Source organism: Homo sapiens, chromosome 14, assembly GCF_000001405.40.
Source record: "Homo sapiens chromosome 14, GRCh38.p14 Primary Assembly".
NCBI classification, from domain to species: Eukaryota; Metazoa; Chordata; class Mammalia; order Primates; family Hominidae; genus Homo; species Homo sapiens.
In genome coordinates this window covers 34063963-34075965 of record NC_000014.9, presented here as the reverse complement: position 1 = coordinate 34075965, position 12003 = coordinate 34063963, and the positions used below count along the sequence as shown (strand labels likewise).

General features: G+C 39.0%; 1 long non-coding RNA gene across 1 annotated transcript in view, besides 2 other annotated features; it reads left to right on the top strand.

Moving 5' to 3' along the window:
• LOC102724945 (uncharacterized) overlaps positions 1-12003 on the top strand; it is a 244858-nt gene that overhangs the window by 127763 nt on the left and 105092 nt on the right. The gene's annotated exons all lie outside the window — the stretch shown is intronic.
• Positions 501-560: an enhancer, noted in NCBI's record as "active region_8249". NCBI's record gives its function as "activates an Ori minimal core promoter by ATAC-STARR-seq in GM12878 lymphoblastoid cells {active_cell/tissue: GM12878}" and the evidence as "EXISTENCE:reporter gene assay evidence [ECO:0000049][PMID:35858748]".
• Positions 641-750: an enhancer, noted in NCBI's record as "active region_8248". NCBI's record gives its function as "activates an Ori minimal core promoter by ATAC-STARR-seq in GM12878 lymphoblastoid cells {active_cell/tissue: GM12878}" and the evidence as "EXISTENCE:reporter gene assay evidence [ECO:0000049][PMID:35858748]".

Sequence of the window (12003 nt, the reverse complement as noted above, 5' to 3'; positions counted from 1 at the left end):
AATTAGACCATTATCCAATCCTTTCTTCTGATTTGAACCTGCAGCTCTGGCTAGTTTACCTCTTGATTGGAGTTAATGTATCTATTTACCACTGATTGATTTGGATTTTTTTTTCACTTACTTTTCATGTGTGACTATTGTCCACAATCCTAAAGATACTTACGTGATCAGGCACATTTTTGTCACTTGTGGGAATGAAAAAGGAAAAAAAATTTTGAGCACAATTTGGGTTGTATAAATGTCATCATACGTGAGTTTGTATACATATGTTATTTTTTTCATAGTTGTATGAAGTGGGCATAATTATGTCCATTGGGTAGATGAGGAAACAGGTTCAGAAAGTTAAGTAGCTATTAAGTTGCAGAGCCAGGATACTAAACCTAGTTATGACTCTGTAACCCACAAGCTGTACTCTCTGGGGACCATCATGTCCTACCCCTGGGGTTTCTAGCTGGAAAACAAGCCTGGCCACGTGTGCAGACAACTCTTGAGACTGTCTTTTTAAAAAATTATTGTTCCCTACTTTTCCCTCTATCTTTTTGCAGCAAAGCAAAGTCATGAGCAGTTTGGGGTCATGGCGATGAGTTGGACATCTGACATGTTCTCTTCCCTTCTGTGAGGTATCACACATTAGTGGGCCAACTGGTGACCTCAGAGACAGAGGCCTGAGGGCTTGGGGGCAGGAGGGTGCAATTCTTCATGACAGGCTCTTGCTGGAGGTGGCCTTTTCATCATAGGGATTTCCTGTAGCTCAGTAATTCTCAAGTTCCTCAAAAAAAAAAAAAAAAAAAAAAAAAAAAAAAAGCAAAGAAAAATACCCAGCAGGTTCCACTGTTGGCTTGGGGGGATGCCCAGGTGATGGCTTTTATTTCTCTTTTAAAAACAAAACTTTTATTTTGATATAATTTCAAACTTAGAGAAAAATTGGAACAGTTCAAAAAAAAATCTCCATATACACGTCACCGAGAATTGCTAATTGTTAATATTCTGCCCTGTTTGCTTTATTATTCTCTGAACTATTTGAGAGTGTGTTGCACACATTGTGCCTCTTTACTCCTAAATACTTCACTGTAAATTTCCTAAGAACAAGGATATTCACTTACACAACCACAGCACAGTTATTAAATCAGGAAATTTTGAAGTGGACATAACACTATTTTCTCGTCTACAGACTTTATTCAATTTTCACCAATTATGTTCTTTTTAGCAATTTTGCTTTTCTGGTCCAAAATCCAATACAGAATTAAGCATTACCTTTATTTATATGGATTTTTAATTTGCATAATCTGTAATGATTCCTGAGCTTTACGTGCCTTTCATGTCATTGACTTTTTTTTTTTTTTTTTTTTTAAGAGTACAGACCATTTATTTTCCAGACTAGCCCTCAGTTTGGGTTTCTCTGATGTTTCCTCATGATGTACTCATTTTTGACAGGAATCTTAAACCAGTGATATCATTTCCTTCCCAGCGCATCCCATCAGGAAACACTAGATATCAGTTTGACCCATTATTGATGCTGACTTTGGTTACTTGGTTAAGGTAATATCTGCCAGATTTCTTCACTGCAAAGTTACTACTTTTCCCTTTGTAATTAATAAATAATTTGTGATGAGATATTTTGACACAATGTAGATAAACTATTCCTCATCAGATTTTTAGCCATTAGTTCTATCATTTATTGATGATTCTTATCTAAATCAATTATTGCCATGATGGTTACAACGTGTTGATTTTTCTAACACCATCATTTTTTCTACATTTATTAGTTGACATTCTGTTGTAAGGGAGCAGTTACCTGCATCATTAATTATCAGTATGGACTCGTGGATTCTTATTTTTTTAGTTGGTTATTGTCCATTACTACAATTATTAATCTTGATGCTCCAATTGTCTCAGATTTGACCAATGGAAGCACCTTTAAGTTGGTTCTTGCATTCATTTGACATGTCTCCATCATTTGTTGAGCACTTGCTTCCTTTCTGACACAAGATAGTCCATATCTTCTTGGACTTTTTCTGGCCATGCTCTGGAATCAGTCATTTCTCCAGGAAACCCTAGTTCCTTGTAGTGGGGAATGGTATTTAGAAACCAAGATTAGGGTGCTGGGTGTCCTTGCTGCTACTGATATATCAAAACTTCTAGGCCCTTTCAACACACAGAATTAAGAAACACACACACTCACCCACACCCCCATACACCCCCATATATATGTGTGTGTGTGTGGGTGTGTGTGTGTATATATATATAATAAATTTATACTATATCCAGTTTCAATCTAGCAGTACAAGATTTTTCACAGCCTACTCCCTCCTTATTTGTATCTCCCTTCTCTAATAGTGAGAGACCTGGTTCACAACATCCTGAAAATATTTATTTGCCCAATTCTTCATGCCTAGAAAATAATTTCAGAATTATTCATCTATACCACTGTGAAAAATGGACATGCTAAAGTATAGTTCACCATTTGTTTGTAGTTCTTTTTGTCTTTAGATCAAGGTTATATAAGCAAAATATTAAGTTCGACTGTTATTTAGGGTGTGGACCTATAGTCCCACTACTCAGGAGGCTTGATCTCGGGAGTTCCAGGCTGCAGTGAGCTATGATGGTGCCACTGCAGTCCAGCCTGGGTGACAGAGCAGGTCTCTATCTCTCTCTCTTTTTTTTGAAGTTATTTAGGTATTTTTCTCCAGTATACTTATTCATTTGGGAATGTAAGGCTCATTTGTATTGTACTTTGGGTTTCTCACCTACCTCCATTTTTGTTGGTTTAACTTTATGGTTTTGAGTAAGTAAAACTGAGTAAATAAAATAGTAACATGCTTTCATAGCCAAAATGGTACCAGAAAAGTATATTTCAAGATCTCTCACTTCCTCCTCTATCCCTTTTACCCTGTTTTTACTCACACCGTATGGGTAACCAAAGTTAGTTCCTCATTTATTCTTTCTGTGTTCCCTTTTGCAAAAATAAGCAGATACATGCATATTTTCTTATTTAATTTTTATTTTCTTACACAAAAGGTAGCATACCATCTTTACTCTTTGCACTTCACTTTAGCTTAAAAATTAAAGAATATACTCCACTTTTTAATTTTAGCTTGGGGTGATCTTCTGTAAATCACTCCATATCATCTCATAGAGATCTTCCTCTTCTTTTTTATAGCTGTACTGTACTCCATTGAATGGACGTGCCATTGTTTAATTACTCTCTTATGTATGAAAATTTAGGTTGCTGCCAAAAGTTTGTAATCACAAATATTGCTATTATGATTAACTGCTATGTCTTCTCTTATTATACAGTTGTAACTGGGTGAAGTCATGAAAGTGGAACTGCCAGTCAAAAGGATAGTTTAGTTGGGTATTGCCAAATTCCCTGCTATAAGTATTGTACCATTTTTGTGTTTCCCGCAGGGATATATGAGGTGACTGTTTCCGCACAGCCTTGCCCACAAAATGTTTTGTTAAGTTTTTTAATTCTTGATAAACTTTGATAGAAAAAAATCTGTTTCAGTATTATTTTAATTTATATTTCACTGATTTTGTCTTGGAACACCTTTTTTTACATGTTCATGATTTTAAAATTTTTTCTGTAAGTTATCTGTTAATATTTTACTATCAAATTTTTAGTCATTTATGCCATTTTTTAGAGTTCTATGTATATTGGGTGTATTTGGTTAACATCCCTAATACATAGAGATATCTCTCTATTATTGTCTTCATCTCCGTCTTTATTGCTATCTTCTTTTTTAAAGGACACAATTCTCTCTTTTACTTTTTTTTAACACATTTTTATAACAACATTGTTTTAGAGACATTTAATGACAAGTGACTTTGCCTGGATAATTACTGGTGAATAGAGACCCTTGAGAGATGATAGAGGCTGGGTGTGGTGACTCACACCTGTAAATCCCAGCAGTTTAGGAGGCCGAGGCAGGAGAATTGTTTGAGCGCAGGAGTTCAAGACCAGCTTGGGCAACATAGAGAGACCCTGCCTCTACAAAAGAAAGAAGAGAGAGAGAATAGAAAATTACATTTCATCTTCTACCTTGGGGACTTTTCTAAGCCACACATTGCTTGTCCAGCAGATGGGTAAGGGATAATACCCATTGGAAAGGAAGGAATAATTTGAAACCCATGTAACTAGAACACAGACCAGAAAACCTGTCAGAGACCACGCGGCGATCTGGAGAGGAGCCTGTGTTTTCTGTAGCAGTTTGCCTCCTCTGCTTATATCCTCAGGCTGAGTCACAGGCAGGGCTTGTCTTAGGGAAGGACTGGAAGATGTGAGGCCAAGAGATTCCAGGCCAATATCAGCAGCTGGGGTCCCTGTGTGTGCATTAGGTAGAGATGGTGAAGTCATACAACCAAATATGAGACTTACAGGAGAGCCTACAGATCATCTGCGCTCAGAAACAATCTAACCTCCTCAGTTTACAGGCAGGAATTAGAGGCCCAGAGAGGTAAGTGACTTGCCCAAAGTCACAAACCAAATTATATTCAGAGCTACATAAGCCTTAAAGCTAATTCTTAAATATTAATGCTTAAAGGCTTAAAACTAATAAGCCCTTTCAAAAGTAATCCATGTTGAAACATCTACATTCCTATGAGTTTTATACTTTGAAGTTGTCATTCTTCTTATATACTTAAGAATACATTAATATACTTAATTATATTAAGTTACACTTAATTCTAGAAACTGCCACTGCCAGAAGTTTTCTGAAATTCTCTTATCAAAGGGAAGCTGAAAACTTGTTTTGGCTGGTCTGTATAGTCCTTCATTCGTTGTAGCAGTACTGATCCATTTTTCTGTTTTTTTTTGTTGTTGTTGTTCTTTTAGACTTGAGTCAAGCACCGTACTCTTCTATTAGCCCAGGGTTTTTTGTTTTGTTTTGTTTTAAAAAATACATTTCAGTATAAATAAGTTGTTTTTCTTTAGTTATATTCTAGTTTTAAGGATACACCTGAATTAACTTAATTGGACTCCTGTGTTTCGTAAGTCTTTGAGATAACCCATTTCTACCTAGATTAATCCAATCTGTTATGTTAGTATTTCCCAAACTGATAATCACGTGGGGTGCTTGTTAGACATACATATTCAAATCTATTCCAACCTCCAGAATCAATCTCTACATGACTGGAAATGCACAATTTTAACAATTTAACATGAATGCAAATTTTGGAAAATGATTCTGTGTTAGTTTTGGGAGTTTAACTCTCAGCTGGCAGCTTTAACCCCAAATCCTCTTACATGTGGATTATCCCCAGGCTCTGAAGGCAATGCCAGTAAAACTTTTTGGTCGATGGTGGAATCATTGGAATAAATGTATAGTTTCCTAACAGAGGCAATTCATCAACACTCTCATGGCTCCTTTGAAATGGAGAGAGCTCCTCAGAATGATTAGGCTTGTGTATGCCAAATCTTTCACAGTATTTTAGAGTGACAGCCATTATTTGAGAAAGGAGTGAGGCAATGGTGGTCGGCTCTCAACGCTGGTGTTACAGAGTTAGATGATCAAGGCAGTCATTCCTTCAGTCTCCAAGATCTGCTGACTAGAGCACTTGACCAAGTACCAGGGCTGATTCAATGACACAAATAACACAGGTGCTATTCTGGACAGACTGACATCTCAGTTTGGGCTACTTATCACTCAAGTTGCCTTCCATTACTACCAGTAGTGCTGTCTGTTTCAGCCTCTCATGAATTCAACCTTTTTATTTTCTATCTCTTTGAATATCTTGCTGTTTCTTCTTTAACACTTAAAATTTAATAAATGAGTGATTACTCTGTGCAAATCACCATGGGGTGGAAAAGCAGGATGGAAAGCTACTAAGAAAAATAAATATTCAGCCAAGTTGTCGAGGCTATAAAAATGCTTAACCAACAGTTCCTGCTCTAAAGGAACTTAGGCCCACTTGGGAGATAAAACAAATAAATAACCATTAAAACTTGGCAATGAGAACAGCCCAGGAAAGGCAGGTATAAAGAAAGCATTTTCATGCAGTAATTAAAACAATGTGGTCCTGGTGTAGTAATAGATATGTCCATGAAATGTAATTGTGAGCCTAAAAATAGAACCATGTATATAAAAGTCATTAATATTTGATAAAATTTTATTTCATATTGGTAGGGAAAATACAGATTATTCAACAAATCATTTTGGGACAACTGGCTAGACTTTTGGAAAATCAGCTGAATTCTTACCTTCTCATACCAAATTAATTCCAAGTGAATTCAAATGTAAAAAATTAAACCATAAATATTTTAGAGAAAACACAGGTAAGAGGCTTTCTAATCTTCAGTGTACAGGCTTTTCCAAGCATGAAATAAAACGTAGAGGCTTTCCTAGAAAAGTAATTTTAATACCTAGAAATCTAAAACATAACATAAGCAAAGTCAAAGACCAACAATGGGGAAAATATTTCGATCACATGTGACAGATGAATGGCTAATATTCATGATAACCAAAGAGGGCTCACAAGTTAACAGAAGACAAAGAAGTCAACAGAAGGATAAAAAAGGAGTCATGAATTAGGAATTCATAATAGAAGAAACACAAATCGCCAACAGGCAAATAAAAATATTCTTCCATAATTTAAAAAATGTAAAATAAAGCACTTTTTCGCCAGTTTGATCAGAAATGAGATTTTAGTGAGATATTTTTTGCCTATTTGATTGATAAAGTGCCCAGTAAGATTTGCTATAAGTGGAGTATAAATTGGTATATACTTTCAGGAACAACTTGGCAATATTTGTTTAAAATGAAAAATACGGATTCTCTCTCAGAAATTCTATATTTATAAAATTACAGGCTTAAATAACTGTACAAAGATGCACAAAGTTATTCATTGCAGCACTATTCGTTACGTGAAGGACTGGCAACAATAAGTTTATTTGATTTTATTCTCTTTTTTTCACTATTCAGCAAGCTCATCCTTAAGCAGTAAGTAGATTATAGTACATCCATATGATGGGATAGAATCAGAGGCCTCTTATCTGTTGAAAACTGCAACGGGTAGTTGTTTAATTGAAAATTTTGTTAAAATTGAGAATCATAAAAATGGATACATTTTAAATGTAATATTTTGACCTAAACTACCTAAATGTAGAATTATTCATTAATCTTTCAATGCTAGGACCAGGCTCTTTGAGTAAGGGTTTGCTGACAGAGTCCTACTCACCTTTCTTGCATAAGCCACACCTCCAATGTCTCTGAGCAGCTTCCTAATCTTATCCCTTTCTTTTCCCTTGTGCTTACACTGGCCTCTGTTGCTCCGGCTTGCTAACCTCTTTCCCACTTCATGGCCTTCTCACTAGTTATCCTCTCTTCTTCCCTTCTGCCTCTACCTCGTTGGCTCTTGTGTCTTAAATGTGACTTCTTCAGAGATACCTTCCAGAGAGATACTTCATGCCAAAGCAAAAAGACAGTTGTTTATGAATAAGAAAGTGGGCCCTTGCCAGATACCAAATCTGCTGGTGTCATGATCTTGGCCTTCCTTCCCTCTAAAACTCTGAGAAATAAATTTCTGTTGTTTAAGAAGCCAGTCAGTCTATGGAATTTTGTTGTCACAGCCTGAATGGACTAAGACACGGAGCAATAACAGGATCTCAGGTCAACTCTAGCCTTGGCCTGATCTACAGAGGGAGCCTAAGTCACAACACAGAGTTGGCTCCCTTGGAGGCAACATGGCCTTTTGAACCCACATATTAGTTACCTGCTGTGGGCTACCTTCAGGTGAGGCAGCTCGTGTCAGCCAGGGAAAAAATGAGCAGCTGGAAGCATTTGCTGTCAATACTCATAGCAGCTGGGGGGTGTGTACTGTGCCCAGTAAAGGGCATCTAAGCTTTTTTAAAGGGCACACAGTATCCACCCCACTGCTGGGCCGGAAAGATTGTTGTGCCAATTGGTTTAAGCTAGTCAAGGCCCACCTTTGGAGCTACGGATTGTGCTATGGTCTGAATGTTGGTGTTTCCCCAACATTCAGGTATTAGGTATAGGAACCTAATACCCAATGTGACAGTATTAAGAGGTGGAACTTTTGTGAAGTGGTTAAGTCATGAGGGCTCCACTCTCATGAATGGTATTAGTACCTTTGTAAAAGAGGCCTGAGAGAGCTCCCTTGCCCTTTCCTCCGTGTGATGATGCAGCAACAAGGAGCCATCTGTTAAGTCCTCACCAGACAATAAATCTGCCAACGCCTTGATCTTGGACTTCCCAGCCTCCAGAACTGTGAGCAATGAATTTCTGTTGTTTAACAATTACCCAGTCTAAGATATTTTGTTACAGCCACCTGAACGAAGCCATGTAGGGTCAATCCCACCCAACCAATGTTACCAAGAAACTCATGGTAGTGTAAGAATGGGGAGAATGTATGGTGATCAGGCACCCAAGAAATGTTCATACCTCCTATCCTTAATTACTCAATATTATATTACCCTGTTTATTTCCTTCAGAGCACTTGTCATAATCTGTAATTCTCTTATTTATTTATTCATTTATTATCTGACTGCTAGAATGTAAGTTAAATGAAAACAGGAACCTTATTTCTTTTGCTCACTGCTACAGCCTAAGAACCTACTGGTATGTCTGGTACATAGTATTAACCAATACATTCTGATTGCATTCCAGATAGGACTCTAAATATGCAGAAGCATGGAGATAGAAAGGAAAATAAATACGCAGATAAAGAAGAGAATTCTAGATCAGTGATTCTCAAACTATAGTCCCTGGACCAGCAGCATCAACATCACCTGGGAACTAGCAAGAAATGTAAATTCTTGGGCCCTACTCCAGCCTTAGTGAATAAGAAACTCTGGGATGAGGCTCAGCAATCTTTATTTAACAAGCCTGCCAGGTGATTCTGATGCACAGCTGAGCTTGAGACCCACTGTTCTGGACCAATTTGACTAAAACACGGGACTTGTGCAGGATAGTTAGTGGTTGATAAAGTGGTAAGGGAAATTCAGGACCGTATTATTATGGCAGGGCAATATGTTAAAAATTTTCCTATGGTGATTGCCCTATGTGTTGTTGATTTATTTTTACTTCTGTGAAACACAAGCAAGACAAGGGAGAAAATGTAATCGGCCCTCCTGTTTTATTGGAAAAGCCATTAGTTATTTGGATTCTGGATACCCTTGCTGGTGGCTGGGAGAAAGGAGTGGGTAGAGATAATGGTGTTTTGATTTTTCAGTCAGGAGAGAAGTACCACCCTAAGGACACTCCTCGTTATCCCCATCCTCACCCTCATCCACAACCAGCTCCTTGCCCTGTGCACACACAGTTTTAAAAAATAAACGTAATTTCTAAGCACAGTTTTAGATGTATAGATAAATTGCAAAGATAGTACAGAGTTCCCATACACCTTGCACCCAGTTTCTCCTAGTATTAGTGTCTGACATTAGTATGGTACAGTTGCCACACTTAATAAACCAAATAATGATGTAAGTAACTAAAGTCCACACTTTATTCAGGTTTTCTTGGTGTTTATCTGATGTCCTTTTTTCTGTTCCAAGATCCACCCAGGATACCACATTAAATTTAGTCATTACGTCTCCTTAGGCTCCTTTTGGCTGTGAGTTTTTGAAACTTTTCTTATTTTTGATGATCTTGACTGTTTTGAGGAGTAATGGTGGGATCTTTTGTAGAATATTCCTCAACTTGGATCTGTCCAGTGTTTTCCTCATTAGATTTGGGTTATGGTTTTAGACAGGCAGACCACAAATGGTAGCTGCTATTTTCATCACATCATATCAAGAGTACATACTATTCACATGAATTATCACTGTTGACGTTGACCTTGATCTGGAGCCCAGGCTAGGGTAGCCATGGAAGGAGGATGAATTTGTGAAATGTTACACAGGGATTTCAGAACTTGACATTTACTTAGATTTGGGGAGAAGGGTTGGAGTAAAAGGAAAAGGAGAGAGAAGAGTGAAAACTATTGCTGAGGTTTCAAAGGTAGGTGACCGGGCACCTGGCTAGTATAGGACAAATCCAGCTGAGTGTCAGTGATCTGTCCCAGTAGAGAAATCTAGCCTGCGGTTGACCTTCTCCTTTTGGAGCTGGGGAAAGTTCAGGACAAGGAGGTTCCATGGCTGAGGTTGTCACTGCCCTAGAACATGAGGGTAGAGAAGTGTGATTGGCACATATTCCCTGCTGGATGCATCAGCCAGTAAGGCCACCTGAAAGAGTTCCTCCCAGAATAATTTGCACAGTCACCTGGAGGTGATGGCAGGGACATCATCACCTTAGATGTCTAAGACCTCCGGCTCTGAGTTTGGGGGTATGGTGGGAGGACTCAGGGCGCATTCCTCAGTATTCTCCCAGCTACTTAGTTATTTGGAAAAGCAGTAGATGCTGCCTGAAGTCAATTAGAACTGTAGCTGAAATTTTCCCAGACGAAGGCAACTGGACACCTGTGGAGGCCAAAGCAATTCCTCGGATGCTAATCCACCATGTTGGCTTCTGAATAACCCCAGTTCTGGGAAACCTTCTGAGATTTCCAGCTTATCTCTTGTACCTTGTTTAAGAACACCCACTTGTCATAAATCCTGCCCTTAGGGCAAATTTCTAGGCATGTCCTCTGCAGCACTTGTGCCCCTCCCCTACTGTATGTAATCCCTGGCTCTGGGGGATGGTGCTGGGATCCACCATGGCTGGAGACGTGGCTTCTGTTCATAAGTCCTTATTAAGGCTGGGTGCGGTGGCTCACACCTGTAATCCCAGCCCTTTGGGAGGCCAAAGTGGGTGGATCACCTGAGGTCAGCCTGACCAACATGGTGAAACCCTATCTGTACTAAAAATACAAAAATTAGTTAGGCATGGTGGCGCAGGCCTGTAATCCCAGCTACTCGGGAGGCTGAGGCAGGAGAATTGCTTGAACCCAGGAGGCAGAGGTTGCAGTGAGCCAAGATGGTGTCATTGCACTCCAGCCTGGGCAATAGAGTGAGACTCTGTCTCAAAAGAAAAAAAAAGTCCTTATTAAATATTTTTTCCTAAGAAACTGGATTTGTCAGCCTGTTTCTTTAGCCTCTCAGCTTCCTCCGACTTTGGGGTAGGTTTGCATAGACTTGCCCACCTCGAAACGACACCGACTTTATAAGATGCATTATAGAAAGAATTGAAGGACATATATTAAAATGTAAACAGTGTGTAACTTTGATTGGTGGATTTAGGGGCTGTATCAGTTTTCTAGGGCTGGTTAATAAATTACCACAAACTGGGTAACTTGGAATTACAGAAATTTATCTCACAATTCTGCAGGCTAGAAGTCTGAAATCAAGGTGTTGGCAGGGTCATATTCCCTCTGAAGCCTCCAGGGGAGGATCCTTCCTTGCTTCTTCCTAGCTTTTGGTGGTTTGCGGCAATCCCTGGTGCTCCTTGGTTTGTAGCTGCAGTATTCCATTCTTTGCCTCTGTCATCACCTGGCATTCTGCCTGTGTGCCTGTGTCCAAATTTTCCTCTTCTCGTAAGAACGCCAGTAATACTGGATTCAGGGTTCATGTTAATTTGATACATCTGCAATAATCCTATTTCCATTCACAGGTTACTTTCACAGGTTCTGGATGGACATAAATCATGGGGGAGCACTATTCAACGCTGTACAGGAGTGATGATACTTCCTTCTTCGTATATTTCTATTTCATCCAAGTTTCTTTTTGCAACCTATATGTATTATTTCTATACCAGCAAAAACGCACATGAAAAATGCAATCTCCACCACCAGTAAAATTTGTTCTCCTTTGAAAAATACAACAAACTGCATTTGTTGAAGGGGTTAGTGCTGTCCTGGAACATGCAGGTAAGGTTACTCGTGCCAGTCATGGTGACTTTGCTGGGAGCCTCCCTATACTCCCAGCCAAACCGTGTTGAAAGGACAGGGAGGAGTGTTGGGTTGCAGGTGCCTGGGGAAGTGTCTGGACATCTCTGCTCAGGCCAGGGCCAGGGATGTGGGAGTGTTCTGTCCTGCTCTGCGGTAGGCTCCTGGCTTCCTTGATATGGGGCT